Raw genomic sequence first — 22,264 nt, forward strand, 5'->3', positions numbered from 1 at the left:
CGGACTTCCTAGATTCATGCCAGAAAATGACATGCCAGAAAATGACCCTGCTCCCAAGCAGGGTCCCCGCTGTCACCTGCACAGGCTAAAGAGCTCCTCCCTTGCTCCCCGGCCTCTTCCCCATCCACTTCCTGCACCAGTGACACTGGGGGCAGCCCCGCAGCGCACCCACAAGTCACCCCCAAGGCTGCCCAGGCCGGTTGTGAGAGGCAGAGGGCAGGAGGCCCGCCGCCCTGGGTTCCTGGAATCCCAAGCTCCAAAAAGAAGCTGAGACTCAGTTTGCAAAACAAAAAGAGGACACAGGAGCACTTTTAACGTTCAGGCTGTATATTTCAGTTCCCCCCAAGGCCCTCGAGACGGACGATTTGCCAAAATAACCAGGTTCAGTGGCTTCTGTAAAAAGTCACTTCCTCTCAGCAGGAAAGGCCCAGTTTCGTGGGGCTGGGGGAGCTGGGGCAGTCCGCCTGCAGCCCCTGAGGTGGGAGGGTCCCCAGGACTAGGCCTTTCGCCAGGTCAGGGATGGGGAGGGAGGACAGGAGCCACCCTAAAAGGGAAAAGGGGGCGGTCCCCAGGGCGAGCACTCCCGCTCCCAGCGCCTCCTGGCCACCAAAGAAAAACCAGACGCCTGCGACGGGCTCTCCTCCCGCCCGGGCTTCCTCGCTCCTCGCCCCTCGCCGGCCATCGGGCGCCACCACCGCGGGTAGCAGGGCGGGGCGCTCTGGGAGCCGCTGGGTGTCTGGGCTGGCGTCTGCAGGGGCCCCGCGGGATCAGGCCGGCTGCAGGGGCGCGGCGGCGCAGCCCACCTTGTTGCTGAAGAGCCGCGAGAGGCTGCGCATGGGCGGAGGGGGCCGCGGGGCACCTCGGAGCCCGCGCACGTCCCAGAGGCGCAGGGCGCCGTCGTGCGAGGCGGTGTAGAGCACCTGGCCGTGCACCTGCGGGCGCAGGGGCGGGCGTCACCGGTGACGCGGTAGGCGGGGGGGACACCGCTGCCCGCGTGGATGGATCGGGGCGGGGCACCTTCCCTCCCACGGGCGGCGGCCCCGAGAAGGGCAGAGGGACCTACCTGGATGCAGTTGATGATGAATGTGTGGCCCCGGAACACCCTCCGCAGCTCTCCAGACTGCGCGTCGAAGGCCCGGGCGCAAGCGTCCCCGCTGCCCGTGAACACTGCGGACACACAGCGCGCGCTGGGCCTCCCTCCCTGCTCGGCCCCCCGCAAGCAGGGATGGGGCGGCGAGAGCGTGACCTGGGGCGTCTCCGAGACTCCGCCCCACGGGGGTATCCTGAGGCTCATATGGGAAGTGGACAGTGCCCCTCCAGAGAAACGGGTCCCCACGGTTATTCTGCTCCACCCTGCAGATGCCTGCGCGCCAGCTGGCCCTGCCCCTGCCCTGCTGAACACCGCCCGGGCCCAGTCCCCACTCCGCGGTTTGGTGAAGTTGGTTTCCGTGCCTGCTTGGGAAGCCCCTGCCTGGGGATAATCGTCAGGTCCTCGAGTCGCTTCCCCCCTACCTTCCGCTGCGTCGGCAACCTTATCCTCCCGTCCTCATTAACGGATCGGCACTCAAATCAAAGCCCAGCCCTCTGGGGTTCATGATCACGCACCCCCGGGACCCCTAGCGGGGGCGAGCCTCCGACCTCAGTCTGTCTCCTCCCCCAGGTGGCTGCCTCTCCCTGGGGTTTCTCCTAAGATTTCAGTCCAATCGTTTTCCAACTGCAACCTGCATTTGCATCCGTCACTTGGAGGTCTTAGCCACAGATCGCGGGGCCGCATCCCAGAATCTGATTTAGCAGGCGGGGCCTGAGAATCGGCATTTCTAACCAGTTTTAAGTGATGCTGCTGCTAGTCAGGAGGCCACACTGAGGATGTGGACTAGAAGAACTCACTTGGCCTAGGCTGGGCTCTCCGAAGCCGACCCTGATGCTAGGACTTGATGCAGACAGTTCACCTGGCAGGCGTCCCAGGAAACGCTCACAGGGAAATGGGAGATGGAAAGGGAGGGAGGAAGTCCTGTGGGGTCTGTCAATGAGCAGGTAACTACGGTGGGCAGCTATGGTGCAAGCCTGCCAGGGACCTTGGGGAAAAGGGGTAGGACCACCTGAGGGTAAGGGTGCTGGGCTACCTATCTATCTGAGGGTGCTCTGTGGGTACTTGTTCCCCAGCCTTTTTTTTTTTTTTTCTTACAGGGAGACAGGGTCTCACTCTGTTGCCGAGGCTGGAGTGCAGTGGTACCATCTTAGCTCACTGTTAACCTTGAACTCCTGGGCTCAAACGATCCTCCCGCTTCAGCCTCCTGAGCAGCTGGGACCACAGGCATGCACCACTACACCCAGCTAATTTTAAAAAAAACGGGGCGGCGGGGTGGGGGGGGGGAGCTGGGCACAGTGGCTCACGCCTGTAATCTCAGCACTTTGGGAAGCTGAAGCTGGCAGAGCAGATCATGAGATCAGGGGTTTGAGACCAGCCTGGCCAACATGGTGAAACCCTGTCTCTACTAAAAATACAAAAATTAGCTGGGTGTGGTGGCACACACCTGTAGTCCCAGTTACTTAGGAGGCTGAGGCAGGAGAATCACTTGAATCTGGGAAGTGGAGGTGGCAGTGAGCCTAGACTGCGCCATTTCACTCCAGCCTGGGCCACAGAGCAAGACTCCGTCTCAAAAAAAAAAAAAAAAAAATGTTTGTAGAGACAGGGTCTTGCTATGTTGCTCAGGCTGGTCTTGAACTACTGAGCTCAAGAGATCCTCCCGCCTTGGCTTCCCAAAGTGCTGGGATTACAGGCATGAGCCACGGTGCCCAGCCTGTTCCAGCCTTTTTGTTAAAACTACAGAGTGAATGGCCCCAGAGGGGAAGTTTCATTTCTGGGTCTCTTTTCAGCCCCTTTCTGCCTTCCCCCCACAAACTCAGACAAATGGACATGGCCTGGAAAACCCAGTGTGGCTGCTGAGCTCCCCGCGGGTGGGAAGAGGATCAAAAACAAAGTCTGATCATCCCATAGCCTTGCTGGCCAAGACCAAGAACCGAGCTGGGCAACAGTGAGCTGCAGGCTTCGCTTTCCCTGCGGGCTCCATGCCCCGGCTGCACGGGGAGGTGTTCTAGGCGGCCGCCGGCCAGAGCCTTTGAGAGTGGAACCTTCCTCGTGTTCAATTAGAGGACCCAGACTTGGGAACAGAGCCGTAACCACACTTCCAGCCTTGGACACAGGAACAAACGAAAAATAATTTTTCTGTGTCAGACACCTGAATCCTGAGGGCATGTCAGGATCTATTTTCAGATATCTACATTCTGTCTTCATCCAACACCTTTGCTGTGAGGTCAACTTGAATATTCCACTGTGACTCTTCCCCAACCCAGTCTCCTCCCTCCCAGAGGCAGAGCCAAATGGCCCGAGAGTGTGACAAGTTGAGACCTGTAGGACAGACAGCAGGTTGCCTGCCCAACAAGCGATTCTGCCCTTCTTTCTTTCCAAAATAACCCTGATTCCATCTGGGCAGCAAATTCCTCAGATAAAAGACTTTATGATTCTCTATCTCTTGCAGACAGAATGGTCACAGAGAGGTATGTAGAAGCCCTTGGATGAAGCTTCCAGGAAAGATCTTAAAGGACCAACTCAGCTAGAAGACGCGTCCTTTCGCCCTTCATCCTCTCTCTCTGCCTGCCTAAAACATGACACGATGGCTGGCACTGTAGCAGCTATCTTGAATCATGAGGCTTCTTTAAAGATAGAAGGTCTGTGCTAAGGATGACGAAGAAGAGTGACAGAAGAAAGCTGGGTGCCTGATGACTTTGTGGAGCCACCCATTCCAGCCGAGACCACCAGCCTCTGAAATTCTTCTACCTGAGAGAAAATAAACCACCACCTCATTGGAACCACAGCTACCTGGATTTTCTCTTCTCTGCAGACAAATCCTAAGGCCAAGTGAGGCCAAAGCCATGTGGCCCTCGAGGCTGGCAGGATTAAGGGGCAGTCACTGTCTCACTTGGAGAATTAGGATACACCCTTTGGGACATGCTTTTGACCCTAGACCCTCCCAGCAGTCCAGTCTCCCAGGCTGTCCTGGAGAAAGGTTGGGAGGAGCCACCAAACCCTTATTTGCACCTTCTTTGCAAAACAGCTGGAAGCACGGGTGTGTGGAGAAGGAACGAGCACTGCCATTGGACGCTGATGATTGGCAGCCAAGGCTCAATGAGGGAAAATCCCATAGGAAGTAAAGAAGCAGAGAGGAGAAGCCAGGCTGGGGTGGCACAGGTCGTGCAGGGCCAAGTCACTTACAGGTGCCCGCGTGGTACTTGAGGGCGCTCACGTTGCGTCTGTGGGCCGTGAACGTGCGCACACACTCCCCTGTGTCTGCCAGCCAGCACTTGACGGTCCTGTCCGCGCTGCCAGAGTACACGAGTCGGTTCACCAGCTGCGAGGAGGAGCAGGGAAGGTCGGCAGCTGGGGCAGCTCTGAAGCCCCCCAGACCTCTCCCTCTATAAGGGGGGAAGGGGCATGTGCAGGTCTCAGTGGTGAAACCATGGGTGAGCCTCGAATGGCCCCGCCACCGGCCCCACCAGACTGCCCACTTCAGCACCCAAAAGCAGGCGGCTGCTCCTGCCCCATGGGGCAGCCAGTGCTCCAACAGGGCTGGCCGCCCAGCCCCACACTGCCCTGGGCCAGTCCCTGGCTCTCTGCCCCTCAGCTGCTTCCCCTGAGGATTAGGATGTGGACAGCCCCTTCCTCGAGGGTGTGTGTGGGGTACAGGCACTTAACTGCTCGCTCCTGCTGGCTGAGGAGAGGGCTTCCAGAGAAGGGCTTTCACATGGGGCTTTTGCTTCAGACAGGACAGAGAAAGCCCTGAGCGAGGGTGTGAGGCAGACTTCTGCCAAGACTGGAGCTGACAGCCGGGGACTGTCACGGGGTCACTGCTCCCCCTGCTCATGGGGCTCACAGTGAGAAGAGGGCCCGGGAGACAGTCTCACCCAGCCATGTGATGCTGCTGTCTCGCAGGAGGTACGGAGAGGGCCCAGGAGACAAGGGAAGAGGCCCTCGCCAAGATGGACGGGAGTAGCGGCCCCAGGGAAGTGCGGAGACTATTAAAATAATTCTGTAAATTCCCCTAGACTAAACACCACCCAGCCAAGAGCACTCCCAGCCAGCACCTCTGGTCAGCAGTCACGGACGAGAAGGCCAGGGCGGGCAGGCGGGCTCCACAGCTGCAGTGACCTGGCGCGATGGCACAGGAGACAGGCGCAGGCTTCATGCCCCAGAGAGGCCTCCTGCCACTACTGCTAGGGCCCAGGAACCAGGAGTCAGAAGCGGGTCAGGCACACAGGGCATTTCTCCTGTGGTCGGCAGGCAGTGGGCCCACCGGCAGGCAGTCAGTTCACGCTGGCCACTGGCATCCCGAACACGTCCCTCCTAACCTTCCCCTCACGACCACGCTCTGGGCCACTTTCCACTGCCGGTTCCCCATATTATCTCCCTGTTCAAATCCCAGAGGACAGAGCTTCCACGACCCGGGCCACAGCCCAGGTCAAAGGAGTTAACTGGCCTTGGGCCAATCACTGTGCCCAGAGAAGGCAGTGGAACCACGAGGAGCACAATGTGGCCTCTGGGAGGCAGAGGCTGCAGGTGCTTCCTGTGGACAGTCACCTGCCCTCTCTCAGGCCCTGCCCTGAAGTCCTGCTGGGGTTACGGTGGGCCCCAGCCCAGGCAGCCTCCCTAACTGGATGGTCCCCTCCCCAAGGACAGGGATACTGCCTACCTGCCCGTGTCAGCTTTGGCAGGGTTCCAGAACATTCCTGCACTCAGACCTCAGCCATCTGCACCACCCAGGAGCACAGTTCCTGCCAGTAATGCGGGCACCAGCAGGAAGGACAAATGGACCTTCCTGAGCCTGCCGGGCACACAGTCAGCTGCTTACAGTCTTCAACAGCCCCTCTGCTTCCTGAGAAAGACCACCCCTCCTGCCTCAGGCTCGGAGGCCCTGCAGGGCCCAGCTTCCCTGGCCCTATATCCTGGTTTCCACTCCACACACCTGTGTCCACACTGCTGCCCCAGGACCTCTGGGCACGTGCCTTCCTCCCAGGTTTCCTACAAGTCCTCCCTGCCCAGAAAGCCCTTGTACTGTGATCCTCCCTTTTCCTTCATCGGCAAGTGGAAGCCCAGGATCCTTCTTCGCACCGCCCCCAGGGCACTGTGTCTGTGTCCCGGAGGCTGGGCTGACCACCACCAGCGCAGCGTTTCCTGGCCATCTCCCCAACACATGGTCAGCTCCAGAGCCAGCCAGGCTCCCTGTGCTTGCGTCCCAGACAGTCACAGAGCCTCTCAGGCTCTAATAAGAGGAGTGGGCAAGGGTGGAATGTTTGAGACTGAGACCTCCAAGGACTGGCCAGCTTTGCAGCCCCACACCTCTGTGCTGCTCAGCCCCTGCACCAAGGAGGCTTCCTGGGTGACCAGGGCAGGAGGCTTGCTGGGTGACCAGGGCAGGAGAGGACAAAGGGAAGCCCCTCCTGTTCCCTGGCAGCCGGCCCTCACCACACAGGGCCTGTGAGCACTGTGCTTAGCCCTCCCAGTAGCACCCTGCCGAACATGAGCCAGAGCCACACAGGCCGAGGGGGCGCTCCCAGCCCCAGGGTCCTCAGCCTGTGGAGGCCTTGCTGTTCCCTCTAGCTGGTTTCCTGACAGGACAGGGAGAGCGGGGTGGCCCAGGGAGGCCTGAGCCAAGGGGGAAGGCAGGATGATCCTGAGGGCTCCTCGCAGCCACGGCGGCTCTGAGGAGTCTCCCAGCGATGAGATCCAACCAAGCAGAAGCAGGAGAGGCACCGGCCCGGGGCTCCGCCGCTGAGGGCACAGATGCGGGCCTCCACCTCCCCGGGCTCCAAGGGAGCCCCGCAGGGGTGGGAGAAGGCTGCAGAGGGCCTGGCAGGCTCCAGAGCAGCAGACCCTCCAAGATACTCCTCCCAAGCAAGAGTGTCGGGGGACGCACCACCTGCCTGGTGACAGCTGTGGTGGTCACAGGCACGGGGCTTACAGATGCACAGTCTTGGGTTCAAATCCTGCCTCCACCCCTCAGCAGATGTGAGACGTGGCCAAGTTACTCATCTTCTCCAAGCTTCCACTGTCTCATGTGCAACGTGAGAAACAAGGACCTCCTGCTAAGAACGAGGCCACAAGGGCTGATGCACTGCTGTGCGCCACACGCAGCCCAGGGCCTGAACATGGTAACCCCCGCCCATCCCCAAAACGCAGGTGCAATCTCTGCCCGCCGGCTCCTCAGGGTTGGGTGAGACTCATGAACTGGTACGACAGGGCTTTTGCAGCCAGAGACTGCCCCACGACATCCTTGCTGTGGTCCCCACCACCTCGGGCTCCCAGATCCTGTAGGTCTTTCTTTTCTCTGGCTGGATTTGAAATGCTTCGTTTCTTTAAAATCACAATGTTGCTATCTGATTTCAAAACTGGGTGCATAGGTGTCTGTTTTAGTTATTTTTTACAATTTACATTTGAAATGTTTTATAACTAAAATGTTTAAAACATCTCTGTAAAACCATGAAGGGACAGGGCAGAGACTCTATCTCTCCTCCTTCACAAGGACCCCAGGTCAAGCCCAGAACCTGGGCGACCCCTCAAAGAGCAGGGGAGAGGGCTGCCCTGCAGCGCAGGGCCACCACAGACAGGGTGCCCCCTGGCTTTTTGACCTTGGGTTTGTCGCTTAGAAGCAGGTCCTCACACCATCTCTGGCCCGACCCTCTCCAAAGGAGGCCTGTGTGCTCCTGGCTCTGTCCCCACCTGGCTTCTGGGACCCCTGAGATCGGTGGCTCAGCCCTGCATGCAGTCCTGTAAAAGGCGAGGGAGGCAGAGGCCCCTCTGGGCACGGTGGTTTCTCAGGACCTCACCTCTGCTTTTGGCCAACTTGGAGCAGGCTGCAGGCTTCAGGGAAGCAGGGAGGATGCTTTGTGGCCACCTGGTCCCCAGGCTGACGGTCGGAGGCGGGGTATATGAAGCTATGGTCTGAGTGTCGGAACCCCCCAAATTCATGCTGGAACTTAACCCCCACTGTGATAGCATTAGGAAGTAAAGTGGTTATGAGGGCCCGCCTCATAAATGAGATGAGTTCCCTTTTATAAAAGGGCTTAAGGGAGCCTGTTTGTCCCTTCATCCAAGACGAAGGACGTGGCAAGAGCAGCAGCCACCAGACACAGAACGTGCTGGCGCCTAGACCTTGGATTTCCCAGCCTCTGGAACAGTGAGAAATACATTTCTATTATTTATAAATTACCCAGTCAAAGGTATTCTGCACCTTTTTTTCTTTTCTTTCCTTTTTTTTTTTTTTTTTGTTTGAGATGAGGTTTCTCCATGTTGCCTAGGCTGGTCTGGGAACCCTGGCCTCAAGTGATCCGTCCACCTCAGCCTCCCAAAGTGCTGGGATAACAGGCGTGAGCCACCGTGCCCGGCCCTCCAGTCTAAGGTATTTTGTTACAGGAGCAGCAATGGACCAGGACTCTGCGAAACTGCACGGTCTCCTCTTTTCCTCCCCAGCCTCTGGAAAGGCTGCCCACGGGCTTATCTCCATAAATCAAAGAAGCCTGACCTGTGTGATGTGAGTGGTGCAGACACCACAGCTCAAACGCACCATCGCCGGGCGGCTCACTCAGGGTCCCAGCAGACGCCCCACACTTGGCCCACCAGGAAACCTCAGCCACTCTCTCCCTTGGCTCTTGACTTGCAAGCACACACGCTTCTTCGGCAAAACGATTTCAGAGGCGACACAATGGGGCTCGCAAAGCCACTGTGGGGGCCCAGGACTCTTAAGGGCACCTGGGAAGGAGTCTGCCCGCTCCGCCCTGCACAGGGCAGGGGCTGTGTGAAGTCCTTTTGAAGAGCTTGCTTCCTGGTCTCAGGTGCACCCACCAGGCCTGTACGCATAGGAGAAGGACGCCTGGAAGTGAGCATGAGGCCCTCTCTCATTTCGAGGAAGGGGAAGGAGATGAGGTGTCATAGACCACGGGTCAGTGACCCCGACTGCATGCCGAGAGCAGAGAAAAGCAACAAGCAGGTCTCTGCTTCAATCTTAGATAGCAATGGTGCCGCCTGCCTCACAGGGTTTCTGGGTTGGGGTGGAGAAGCCACACAGTCCTGTGTGTGGGTGCCATGTTCCTGAGAGCAGTTTGTGGATGGGGGTGCCGGTGAGCCAGGGGCTGAATGCACAATCTCCAGCCCAGCAGAGCACTGAGGCAGAGTGAGGGCCCCAGGCAGGCCATGAGGCAGGGGCCCCAAAAGGATCCAAATGCAAGAGAGCGTGGGGTGTAATGGCCAGCCCTGGTGCCACGAACCAAGGGACAGTCAGAGCTCGGGGAGACGGAGCACTCGCAGGGCCAGGGCTGCGGAGCAGGGGAGGAGCTGGAGGGGAGGAGATGAAAAGTCCCTGGTTCAGCCCTCAACGACAGAGCTCTCCCCGTGAAAACAGACCAAGCCCAGAGCTCACTGCACACCCCCCACATCAGGACCCCATCTGGCCACGCCAGGGGCAGCCATCGTGTGTCCCCACTTGGCAGATTGTGAAAAAGGAGTCCCCCCAACCCCCACAGTCAGGAAGCCTCCGGAAGTTGCACAGCGTCCTGACGCTGTGGGCAGAGGGGATGGTACGGCGCCCACCTCCCATCCCTTTCCCTCTACACTCGCCTTAAGAATCATTTCACTTTGGCAGTTCCTCAAAAAGCTGAACAGAGAATTACCAAGTCATCCGCAGTCCCACTGGCAGGCATATACCCGAGAACTGAAGGCAGGATGCACCCAGATCCCGTCCACCCGTTCACAACAGCTGAAAGGTGAAAGCAACCCGTGTGTCTATCAACAGGTGACGGATAAGCGCAATGTGGTATCCACATACCAGGGAATATTTATCAGTCACGGAAAAAGGAGGGAATCTCATCACACACCACAACACAGACGAACCCTGAAGATCTTATGCTCATGAAATAAGCCAGACAGGAAAGGACAGATCCTGCACGACTCCACTCATGTGAGGACCCAGAGTCATCAAATTCAGAGACACAAAGCAGAAGGGCGGGTGCCCGGGGCATGGAAGAGCAGCGGGGAGTCAGTGTTTAATGGGGACAGAGTTCTGATTTGGGCTGATGGAAAAGTCTGGAAATCATGGTATGATGCTTGCACAACACTGAACGTGCTTCACGCCCTGAGTAAATGCTGAAAATGGTTTAAAGGGAGGCCTCAGCTGATCCTGTGGGTCCCCCTCCTGTGCTTCCTGGACCCGAGAGGGCCAATCAGGCCCTTCTAGAAAGGCAGATCGTGAGCGGCACTTCCAGCCCATCTGATGAAGGCTGTGGCGGCGATGGCCCTCGGTCAGAGAAGCCACAGAAGGCAGGAGGGAGAACTGACATAGCCACCTGCGGGGGCGGGGCCCAGCGAGGGCTAGGGGACGCCATACCCAGAAGTCCTGCTTCCCGGATCTGCTCATGAGGCTCCTGCCCTGGCTCCCTGCCCCTGAATCTCTGTCAGGAAGCCCCCTCTGCGTTTAGGACAGTGTGAGAAATGTCCCATAGCCCTAATCAAACCTGGCTTGTAAGGCAGCAGCCTTCTAACCCCTGCAAAACTCCAATTTCCTGAGTGGTGTCGGGTGAAAGAAATCATATACAAGGGAAGAGAAAGGCAAGATGGTCCCTTCTGTGGGTCGCATGGCCCCCCACACGCAGCTGGGTGAGCTGGGAGCCCGGGCGAGACTGAGGGTCCGGCTGGATTCTGTTTCTCTGCGCACCGGGTCTGGGGCCCGACAGTCCTTTTCAAGAGGCAGATCTGGATGGGTGGGAAAAGGTGCCTTCCCCACCCTGTGAAGGGAAGAAAGAGGGAATCTTAAACATGGGCAATGTTACAACACACTCAGATGCACCAAAATGTCACCCAACAGACTTCCCAAGGGATTAGAAGGTGCTGGACGATTAGGGAGATGGCGGGAACAAAGTAAAAGAAACTCCCGTCTACCGAGAATCTAGGAGTCCAAGTACAGGGGTGCGCCTCCTCCCCAGCCCCGCCCCTCCCACGCACCGTGAGGCTGACACCTCATCCCACCCGTCCTGGGCGATGGGGGCCTTTTTTCTACCTCAGCCACCAGGCCTTCCTAGTGAAGCAGGGTGTCACTTAGTAGTTACCTTAGTGACTACCTGAGCAGAGCCCCAAACCATCAGACGTTTGGCTGCCTTCAGTGCCAGCTGCTCTTTCTGCAAAAGTGTGTGCTGCCTTCCTTCTGCCAGCCCCTTCAGACGCTCAGGGCAGGGCAAGGTGCTGCCCAGCTGAGACGCAACAGCCAGGCCCGAGCCAGCCATGTGCTCCCCAAGAGTGGACCTCCCGGACCCCAGCTCTGATCGGGGCCCCCAGCCTATGCTGCAGCCTGATGCTCCCCTGCGCCCAGGCCTGGGTCATGTCCCTTCTCTCTTGCCCACATGCCCCCATCCAGCTGGCCAGCGAGGCCCTCTCCCCATGTGCCCCCTGCACCCCCAGCCTCTCAGACACTTGGACCCCCATCCACCCACCACTGACTCCTCATTAGGGAACAGGAACCTCCCTCCCTGAAGGGGACTTATGCTGGAACTTAGGGTTTGTGTTTACAGGGGTAAAATGGACCCTGCCCCAGAGTCCCCCACTGTGAGAGCATCCCCATGTGGAGAGCATGTAACCCCTGAAGCCCCCTACCCGGGGGGTGGGCCTTGCCCATGCCTCCTGCAGCTTCGGAGCCCCTGCGGAGCGCCGCCCATTCACTCCCTCATCCCACGAGCCTGGCTCCCAGGTCGGGAGGCCGAGTCTAATAGAGGAGGCAAACTCCACCCCTGCCACTACCAGAAGCTGAGGCTCCGGGGCCACCGGCCGCCCAGGGACCTCCCAGGCCTGTCACAGGCTGTGCACCCTGCACACTGCGGGGCCACTACCTAGGTGCCTGCTAGCTCCTTCCTTGCCCTCCCTCTTGCCTTCCTTCTGTCTTTACGAGACCTAGTGGTCCTGAGAGGCTCACCTCCACCTCCCAGAACCTTCTGACCAGTGCATTCCTAGGGGGTCTCAGCCCTCATGGCAGCCCTGCCCGTCTCCAGAGCCCCCCATTCTTCAGTCTTGGCTCCCTGCACCCCACCCCCCTGCTAGGACTGAGCCCCACTGGCCACCTGGGCCAGGCTGTCCCTGGCTGTTCCCATGGGCACCTTCTGTCCCCAGTCCTCTTCCCATTCAAATTGCTTTGTGGGACTGGCTAAGTTTCAAAGGGAAAGAAAACAAAGGCACAGTCCATAGCCAGAGCCTCTGGCCCCCGGGTGCTCTCTCTTCATACCCATCAACATGTGTGTCTGCGTGGTATGTTTGTGGGCATGCATGTACGTGCGTGGCTTGTCTGTGTTCACACGTGTGTTCACACGTGTGTGCATGTGTGCCTGTGGGGTGTGCGTTCACACGCGCGTATCATGCATGTGCATGTGGAGTGTGTGCGCCTATGCCTGTGTGTGCACACAGGTGTGTGGGGTGGGAGCTGTCTCTCCGCACTCTCTCCTTTAGCCTTCCTGACTCTCTGCCAGGACACCCTACGCTCCCACTCTCCAGGAAGAACAGCACTGAGACCCTACAGAATACCCCAGGGAGCGAACCCGGGGAATCCTGCCACCCCTGGAGTGAGGACAGCTGTCACCTGGGAGGGCAGTGCTGCTTTTCTCCCCCCTCCGTCCAGCACCAGCCTCCACCTGGCCAGTGGCCTTTCTATGCCTGCGCTGGTTCCTCTTTCACTGGTGACATGAGGGCGAGTCACCAGCTCCATCTGGGACAGGCCTCCCAGCGAACTCCTGGCCCCTTCCCCTCCCAACCCCCTGCCCTGGCAAGCTCAGAGCACAGACATGAGCCAGGTAGGGGGGGTCTCAGCCTCACTCCATACTGCCCACCACGGAACTGCCTGGCAGGAAAGAGGCCTCGGATGCCCCCAGCTCTTTACGAGTCTCGGGCCACTAGTGCTGACTCTCACGGGAACCCTGGGAGACTAGAAGAGCTGTTATCACCACCAGCATCTGACAAGTAAGGACACGGAGGGAGGGCCGGGGAGCGTGAAGAGTGGCAGAGTGTGCCTCCCCAAAACACGCCCCTTCAGCATAAGGATGATGTCGAGTTAAAAGGCACGCAAAAAACAGGTGCGAGCAGTGCACCCTGACCTTCCCTTCTTTCCTGAAAGCAGGAGATCAAGAAACAGAAACATTCTTATCACCAGAGGTGGAGCTGAGGCCAAGGGAAACCTGTGCGGACAGACCCTGTGAGATGGGCCCGGACTGCTGTGCCCCTTCCCCACGACGAGCTGCTCTCCCAAGCCCCTCATCTCGCTGCATTTGCTGATTTGCTTCTTTGTCCACCCATCCCAATGTCCTCAGGTGGGACCTGAGTTAGAGACATGGGGTTTACATGCCCCATCCAGCATCTCAGGGACCTGGGTGACCCTCCCTCCACGCGAATGTGAGCCCTTCCCTGCTCCCCTGGTCTTGGAGCCCCGGGGCCGCCTCTACCCCTACAACCCCAAATGGGGCCCCTGGCCTGGCTCTCCTATGGGGTTGAGCACAGCGAAGCCTGATCAGGGCTGCCCTGACTCCAGCCCCGTCACCCGGAGCCTGCCCCTCCCATCTTCTGCGGCTTCGCTGAGCATCAGGTGCTGGTAGCAATGCACCCCAACCGCTTGCCGCAGGGGTCGGACCTGCCCTGGAGCAGGGCAGAGGCTGGCCGAGACTGAGCCAGGAACATCTAGACCCCAGCATGGGGGATCACACCCAACAGGTCCTCCGGCCAGGCACACCGTTAGGTCCTTCACAGCAACAGCAGCAGGGATGGTCACGGTCGCGGCGGCTAAGGGCTGCCTGGCAGCACTGTTCACGCATCTTCCATTGATTCACCAAATCCCTACCACAAGCCCACGGACGGGGCAACTTCATACCATAATCCCTAATCTAAAACCTTGGGACAATGCGTTCGAGGATTTTCTGGCTTACAGACACACTCCTGCATCTGCAGGAAAGGCGTGAGAACCCCCAGGCACCGGGATGTTCGAAGCACACACAGTCACATGTCTCTTCAGGCCAGACTCTGCCACCAGGCGTTTTCGTGCCAAGCTTAAGAAAAAACTTCTCAATTTTTGGAACTTTTTGGATTTAGGAATTAAGAAGGGGCGTAATCCTCCCTGTACATGTGAGGAAACTGAGGCCCACAGAGGCTGGGTGGCTTGTCCAGGGGAGGCAACGGAGACGGGGCAGCAACCCCACGTCCCACACGGCCACACCATTACAGCGCTATGTGCTTCCTCTATCCTGGTTGTCAGCTTATAGCATGATGGGCCACTTCCCAGTCCCCAACCCATGAGGACGGAGCCCAGGAGGCTGCCGGCGTTCACCCTGACAGCACAAAGACAAACCAGGAAAACAGTCAACACCCGCTCCAGGCGCCCTGCAGGCAGGCTCCGCCCCAGCTCTGGCCCAGCATGCAGATTCAGAAGCTGAGTGTTATGGGCTGCATCATGCCCACCCCAGATTCACGTGTCGCAGCCCTACCCCACCCCTGTACCTATGAATGTGGCCTTTTTGAAAGAGGGTCTTTAAAAGAGGCAGTTGAGTTAAAATGAGTTCATAGGGGGGCCCTAATCCAGTATGACTGGTGTCCTTCTAAGAAGAGATTAGGACACACACACACACACACACACACACACACACACACACACACACGAGGACAGGGAGAAGGCAGCATCTGCAGGTTAAGGAGAGGCCTCACGGAAACCAGTACTGCGGACCCCTTATCTTGGATTCCCAGCCCCAGGACCGCAAGGCCTCCGTGGCGCTTGCCAGGCCCCCATCTGCAGCGCTTTGTTATGCAGCCGAATCACAGATACCCAGGGCAGGGCGGCAGTGCAGGGGGTGACCTGGGCTCCCCTGGCTGCTGGGCGGGGACCAGGACAGTCTCACCTCCAGACAGATGACGGAGCCCCGGTGCTCCCGGAACACCCGCAGCTGCTCCCCACTCAGGATGTCCCAGGCACGGATGGTGGCGTCGGTGCTGCCTGTGAAGGCCGTGTGGCCGGGCGTGTCTAGCACTAGGCACAGCACTGCACCCGTGTGGCCCCGCAGCGTCTGGTGGCAGCAGCCGCTGGCCACCTGCCACACCTTGGCTGTGCCATCTGTGCTGCCGGTCACCAGAAGCCCCCCGGCCGCGGCCTCCTCCGCGCAGGGAGTGCTGGGGAGGTCCCACGGGGCAGAGTAGGCTAGGGTCAGCACGCAGTTGCGGTGGCCCCGGAACTCCCGGGACATCTGCCCCTTGTCCACACTCCAGACCCGAGCTGTCCGGTCATAGGAGCTGCTGAAGAGCTGGTTGTTGGCAACCAGGATCCTGGGGGCAAGAGGGAAGGGGTCAGGGATCAGAAGGCACGGGTTCCAGAATCCACACAGCCTCCCGACATGCCATGCTCGGCACTGCAGCTAAAATAACCTCTCCCTGTGTCTGCCCAGCTTGCCACACTCGTCTTCCAAGGTCCAGCTCAAATCGCCCCCACCTCCAGGAAGCTACCCTGACTCCCCTCATGCCCACCCTTCCTTGCCTGCCCCTGGGCATGTACCTGTAGCAGGGACCAAGCTTAGATGCTCCGCTGGGATCCCTCCAGCATCCCCACAGCAGCTCTGCAGGAGCAGCGGGAAGGGGATGGGGGAGGAGGTAGGGGAGCAGCGGGAAGCGGGTGGGGGGGAAGGTAGGGGAGCACGGCCCTCTCAGCTTGCCCGGAGTTGAAAAGCTTCTGGGGATTTAGGGTTTTCAGCCTAAGACTGAGAAAGTCCAGGGCAGAGTGGGACACGCTGGTCACCCTGGGAACAGGGCCGGCTCAAGTGGCTGGGCAGGGCACTTCAGATGAGGGCCCTGAGAAGCTGGAGAGCACTGGGAACTCCCATAGTGCACCCAGGGGTGCTTGTGGGAGGCACAGCCAGGGGTCACGCTACAGCCAGTGGGGGCCTCTGCTGCCAGCTCTCACAGCAATCCCCATGCAGACTGAGGTCACAGCCTCAACAGGGTTCTAGCCACATGGCTGGGAACTGGGGGTTGGGTAGCCAAGAGAGTCCATCCATTCAGTGCAACTGACCAACATGGGAGACCAAGGCCCCCACATTGTATTCACGACTCTTATTTTCATTTTGATGGAAGCCAAGAACTCCCCAGAAAAACACACATTTGTCTTTAGTGCAGAGCTTTGCACAGAACCTCAGAAGGTCTGAGCACACACCCTTGGTAAGAAGCCCTGCACCTCAGGAGAGGAGACCGCCAAGGGGTGCGGCCGTGGCTGCACTGTAACAAGGTGCATCCCTGCCGGGGTGGGACCCTCCTGAATCAGGACCACGGCCGGCCCTGCTGCTCCTCCCGTCCTCCCGCGAAGGGCTTGCTGGCCAGCCTGGCATGGACAGGAGACCCACTCGGGACAAGCCTGCTGCCTCCCGCCTCCACAGGATCCCAACAGCATTCCTCACTTCCCGCAAGCAGCTCAACGACACATGACTCCACTCAAATGCCAACTATCCCTTTCCAACTGGCTTCTTCCCTGAGACCCAGATAGGATGATTGTCACAAAACATGTATTTATTTATTTATTTTGAGACGGAGTCTCACTCTGTCGCCCAGGCTGGAGCGCAGTGGCACGATCTCGGCTCACTGCAACCTCTGCCTCCCAGGTTCAAGCGATTCTCCTGCCTCAGCCTCCCGAGTAGCTGGGATTACGTGTATTTTTAAAGGAAATGATGCCTTGATGCTGCTGCTGCAAAGTGCGGGAGGAAGAGGGTGTAGCGGGAGGAAGGGCATAGCGGGAGGAAGGGCATAGCGGGAGGAAGAGCATAGCGGGAGGAAGAGGGTGTAGTGGGAGGAAGGGCATAGCGGGAGGAAGAGGGTGTAGCGGGAGGAAGAGGGTGTAGCGGGAGGAAGAGGGCGTAGCAGGAGGAAGGGCATAGCGGGAGGAAGGGCATAGCGGGAGGAAGAGGGTGTAGCGGGAGGAAGGGCATAGCGGGAGGAAGGGTGTAGCGGGAGGCCTTGGGGTATGGAGGGGGTGGCTGAGTCCTGCCTGGTGTGAGAAGGCAGGGATGCCAGGCCACTGAACGATCGGTGACCCCAAAGCTCACAGGCCTGACCTGGCTCTGAAAACTCGGGAGGAAGTGAGTTCCTGATTTATGAGGACAGTTACTTAATCATGCAAATATCTACACAGAGCTATGGGTTTGGAGCTGTGACCGATCCAAAATAGTGTGTGTGTTTGTATATGTTGTGAGCACATGTGAACATGTGTGCATATGTGTATATGTGCATGTGTGTTGTGTGCACAATGTGTGCCTGCATGTACTTTGTGTGTATATGTGTATGTTTTGTTGCTTGTGTAAGTTGTGTGTCTATGTGTGTGCATGTGTGTGTTGTGTGTGCATATGTGTGTGTAAGTTGTGTGTATGGGTGCATATGTATGTTGTGTGTATGTGTGTAAGTTGCATGTGCATGTGTAAGTTGTGTATGAGTGCATATGTATGTTGTGTATGTGTGCACATGTGTATGTGTAAGTTGTGTGTATGGGTGTATATGTATGTTGTGCGTGTGTGCACATGTGTAAGTTGTGTATGAGTGTATGTGTGTGCACATGTGTATGTGTAAGGTGTGTATGTGTATATGTGTGCGCACGTGTGTATGTGTAAGTTTGTGTATGAGTGTGTATGTATGTTGTGTATGCACGTGTATATGTGTAAGTTGTTTGTATGGTGTATGTGTATATGTATGTGTGCGCACGTGTGTATGTGTAAGTTTGTGTATGAGTGTGTATGTATGTTGTGTATGCACGTGTATATGTGTAAGTTGTGTGTATGGTGTATATGTATGTTGTGTGTGTGCGCACATGTGTATGTGTAAGTTGTGTGTGCACATGTGAGAGTAAATCTGGCCGAGCATGATTTCTACCTTTAATGTTCCAGTTTTGCTTTTGAGAAGCATCTGACAGTTGTGGGTTTGGCAGCTGAGGGCCCACTGGTCACTGCAGGCAGGCCTTCTCCCCGCTGAGCCCATTGCAGCCTCTGCCTGACTCACAGGAGGGCGCTCCCCCAGCCCTACTCTCTTCTTTCATGGCAAACTTCTTTCTCAGGGAAGTCAGAGTGCTGGGAAGAGGCCAGTGGAGCTGTGAGCCCTGAGTTCTCACTCTAGCCCCTTCTTTACCACCTTGTGGGCTGCCTGGGCAGGTCTCAGGGCCTCACCTGCTTCAGCTGAGGAAGGCCGGGGCCAGACGGCCACCCTACCTTGTGTCTGCATATACCCCCCATTCACTCTAAAAAGTCCCCGCATCCCTTCAGCCTCCTCCTCAGGGTGTCACCCAGCTCCCCGTCCATCGACTATCGATTATTATTCCTGGCTGCAGCCACCTGCGACTCCAGCGAGCTGGGCTGATGGGTCTCACTGCCTTTCCTGTCCCCCCATGCGCTGGTCCACTGACTGGGGGTTCCTGTCAGAGCTCAACCAACAGCATTCCTCTGGTGGGGTTCATCCTGTCTGGTCTGCGCCCCCAGCCCCACCTTCAGGACCCCCTCGTGCCAGCCTGCGCCAGCCCTGTCTTTACTTGGGTCACCCTCCAGGCAGCGCCCCTCCTCCAGTGCAGCTGCCAGGCCCAGGGGCGCCAGGAGGCCTCCCTCGGGAGTCCGAGGTGACCACCACAAGTGACTCCAACAGTGTCCAACTGATCTGATCAGCAAAGGAATTTCCATTGCTCAGCTCAGACCCAAATTCATTGAGAAAGGAACAATTCCAACCTTCTTGAGAAGGAGGGGCTGGGATATTTTCCACAGCTACAAAGAAAGGAGAGGCTTAAAAATATCCTCAACTCCGTCTTCGGAACAATCCCCCACACTCCTCCTCCTGCAAACCTTTGGTCCACCATCGGGTCTCAATTAAGCCATTTCCTATGGAATTTGTCCCCATCCCTACGAGCTGTAGGCTCTGGTGCTTTTCCCTGCACCCAGCGGGGAGCCACTGTGCCCCCAAGGGGGAAGCATCAGGCTCTGTTCAGTGGATGGGCAGTGCCTCCCTGCCCCACATGCAGCCGCAGGCACTGAGCTCGCTGCCTGTCCTGGGTCCACGTCGCTGGGTGCTACTGACCACCTCCCAGCTGTCCACGTTTTTGCTTCCCCAGAGAGCCAAGGGCCCTCACGTGCAGGGGCCCATATCTCTGACCCCTCAGCCCCACCAGAAGCCTATGTATGGTGAGACTCAGCCCAAGCCCCCAGCCAGGCTGACCTGTTCACGATGGACGTGTGTCCTCGGTACACCTGCAGACACTGCCCGGTCAGCACGTCCCACCTCCTGATGGTGCAGTCGGCGCTGCATGTGAAGGCAGCCTCATCCTCCAGCTGGCAGAAGGTCACATAGCTTTCATGTCCTGCAGATGAGGGACAGGGGAGATGTGAGCGTACTGGGGATGCCAGCTCCTGCTTTTCTTCTGGGAACAATGTTTGAAAAGGGAAGAAAGCAGGATGTAGGGAGTGTTTGAGACAAGCTGGAGTCAATTAGCATTAGTTTTGTTTTGTTTTGTTTTTTTGAGACAGAGTCTCACTCTGTCACAAGGCTGGAGTACAGTGGCGCGATCTGGGCTCACTGCAACCTCTGCCTCCCGGGTTCAAGTGATTCTCCTGCCTCAGCCTCCTGAGTAGCTGAGATTACAGGCGCATACCACTATACCTGGCTAATTCTTTGTATTTTTAGTAGAGATGGGGTTTCGCCATGTTAGTCAGGCTGGTCTCGAACTCCTGACCTCAAGTGATCTGCCTGCCTTGGCCTCCCAAAGTGCTGGAATTACAGGCGTGAGCCACTGCGCCCAGCCCTCAACTCATCCTTCTTAAAGAATGACTTCAGTCTGAGTGATTCTCAGAAAGCACGGGGTACCAGTGAGGCACGACAGATAGTCAGGGAAGTAACCATGTCCTCAGGACGCAGCAACCATGGCGACTGCGCCGTCAACACAATAAGCCCCAGCATTCGCACTGCAGGCAAGCTCATTCAAGCAAAGCTATCTTCAGTAGGGACTTTCCCCTGTAGAGAGCACGTGCACTTTGATTTTTACCGGTCCTCACAGTGACCCTTTGCTCATTACAATAGTAAAAAACACACCCCTGGATGGAGATTTAAGATGCCAGTGAGACATGTGACGTATGAACAGGGATGCACAGCCACTGTGCATGAGCACCCAGAACATGCTTCCCAGCAACCCCCTTGCCCACCTGCTCATGAATAATCAGGTAAGACTCCTAAAAAGGGATCCTCCCTCCAGCCGGTCTTTGCTCTCTCATCCTCACAGGCAGCCTACCCTGACTCCCCTCTTGGGGCGTCCTGCCTATTCTGCACCTAACTTTCAGGGTATTCTTCCTCCTGTGCAATACATTGCTCTATGCTGCATCTCCTTTGCTGTGTGTCTCCTGTTTCAATTCTGTTAAACTAAGAAGACAAGAACTGAGGTTTCACAGCAGCCATCAACAGCAGGAGCAATCCAGGGGCACTCGCCTGCACCCTAAACCCTCTGTTTCCTCAGCTTCCACTCTTGCCTTCCTCCCTCCTCTCCTTCCCTCCTCATTTCTTTATCATCTCCTTTTAGTCTTTTTCAAACCTTTCAGCTTTTGCATTCCACATTTCCTCACCTGGGATGGGGACAATGCCTGCCTCACGGGATGTAGCGCAGACTGAGGACAGAGGCAGCCGCAGAGGGAATGGCACATGTTCGCTATTTTCCTTACACTGGGGAGAGATACTGTGGTAGGCAGAATGACGGCCCCAAGACAGCAGGTCCTAATCCCTGGAACCTGTCAATGTGACCTTACTTGGAAAGGGGTCTTTGTGGATGTGACGAGGTAAAGACTTTGACTGGGGAGATTATCCTAGATTATCCGGGGGGTCCTAAATACAACCGCAAGTGGCCAGGCGCGGTGGCTCACGCCTGTAATTCCAGCACTTTGGGAGGCCGAGGCGGGTGGATCACAAGGTCAGGAGTTCAAGATCAGCCTGGCTAAGATGGTGAAACCCCGTCTCTACTAAAAATACAAAAAATTAGCCGGGCGTGGTGGTGGGCGCCTGTAATCCCAGCTACTCGGGAGGCTGAGGCAGAGAACTGCTTGAACCCGGAAGGCGGAGGCTGCAGTGAGCTGAGGTTGCACCACTGCACTCCAGCCTGGGTGACAGAGCAAAACTCTGCCTCAAAAAAAAAAAAAAAAAAAAAAAATATATATATATATATATATATCTCCACAAATGTCCTTACAAGAGAGAGGCCAGGGAGATGTGATATACTCGGAAGAGGAGGCCGTGAAGGTGAAGGCAGAGATGGATGTGGCCACGAGCGCAGGAATGCCAGCAGCCACTAGGGCTGGAAGAGGCCAGGAACCGACCGTTCCCTGCAGGGTTTAGATGTGGCCCTGCTGACACCCTGCTTTCATCCCAGGGACGCTCATTTCAGCCCTCTGGGTTCCAGCACTGTGAAGAATCAACTTCACTTGTTTCCAGGCACCAAGCATCCTCCTTTGTCACAGCAGCCCCAGGACACTAACATAGACACAGAGACAATGAAACACAGCCTTGCCCTCCAAGGGAGCTCCAGGCCCAGAAGGGAAGACAGTCAAGGGCAGCATGTGGTCAGCAGGGCTCGGCACCCCACTGGCAGCGGCTGGCTGGGGCTCGGGAGAGAAGCCTGAGCACTGGAGACCAGGAAGAGGGTGACTCGGTGCCCGTAGGGAGAACAGCGGCTAGGAAAGCAGGCGTGCAGGGACTGGCTCCATGGGGCACCTCCAGGCCAGAGTCTGAGTGATCGGTAGAGATGACTGATGAGGCCGGGATGTGGCCAGAATGGAGGGCCAAGAGTGGAGGGCCATGCCAGGGTGTCTGGGGTCTCAGCACCTGAGCTACCCCACCAGCTGGTTGGGACTCTATCTCATGGGTGCAGTTAGATAGCTTGACTATCACCCTGGCTGCCAGATCAATGTTTATGCCTCAGGCATTGCTTAGCAGCCCTGGGGGCCCTCAGGGTCTCTGATCTTAGTAGGGCCTGCCCTTCAGGTAAAGATGGTGTGTATACAGTTGTCCCCCAATATATACAGTTGCCCCCAATACCCATCAGGGATTAGTTCCAGGATCCCCTGCAGATACCAAACTCCACAACGCTCAGGTCCCTGTGGTGTAGTATTTGCCCATAACCTATGCAATCCTCCTGCATACTTCAGTTCATCTCTAGGT

The 22,264-nt window shown here is 57.5% G+C and overlaps 1 protein-coding gene across 18 annotated transcripts in view, besides 3 other annotated features; it reads right to left on the bottom strand.

Moving 5' to 3' along the window:
• The window catches only part of WDR86 (WD repeat domain 86), a 41,758-nt gene that overhangs the window by 11,860 nt on the left and 7,634 nt on the right, over positions 1 to 22,264 (bottom strand). For 3 of the 18 annotated variants that reach the window (XM_011516148.2, NM_001284260.2, XM_011516150.2), the window contains exons 2-6: positions 19,286 to 19,427; positions 14,962 to 15,382; positions 4,274 to 4,473; positions 1,064 to 1,167; positions 310 to 932 (exon numbers count right to left, since the gene is read on the bottom strand). In XM_011516148.2, coding sequence (XP_011514450.1) covers positions 514 to 932; positions 1,064 to 1,167; positions 4,274 to 4,473; positions 14,962 to 15,303 — 1,065 coding nt within the window. In that variant the 5' untranslated portion in view covers positions 15,304 to 15,382; positions 19,286 to 19,427 and the 3' untranslated portion in view covers positions 310 to 513. The other 15 variants (NM_001284262.2, NM_198285.3, XM_047420327.1 and 12 more) reach the window with 11 other exon arrangements.
• Positions 553 to 712: a silencer, noted in NCBI's record as "silent region_18813". NCBI's record gives its function as "represses an Ori minimal core promoter by ATAC-STARR-seq in GM12878 lymphoblastoid cells {active_cell/tissue: GM12878}" and the evidence as "EXISTENCE:reporter gene assay evidence [ECO:0000049][PMID:35858748]".
• Positions 733 to 972: a silencer, noted in NCBI's record as "silent region_18814". NCBI's record gives its function as "represses an Ori minimal core promoter by ATAC-STARR-seq in GM12878 lymphoblastoid cells {active_cell/tissue: GM12878}" and the evidence as "EXISTENCE:reporter gene assay evidence [ECO:0000049][PMID:35858748]".
• Positions 6,539 to 7,201: an enhancer, noted in NCBI's record as "H3K4me1 hESC enhancer chr7:151084439-151085101 (GRCh37/hg19 assembly coordinates)". NCBI's record gives its function as "activates a minimal SCP1, AML or CMV promoter by ChIP-STARR-seq in naive H9 embryonic stem cells {active_cell/tissue: H9 hESC(naive)}" and the evidence as "EXISTENCE:reporter gene assay evidence [ECO:0000049][PMID:30033119]".

The sequence above is a fragment of the Homo sapiens genome, chromosome 7, assembly GCF_000001405.40.
Source record: "Homo sapiens chromosome 7, GRCh38.p14 Primary Assembly".
Lineage (NCBI taxonomy): Eukaryota > Metazoa > Chordata > Mammalia > Primates > Hominidae > Homo > Homo sapiens.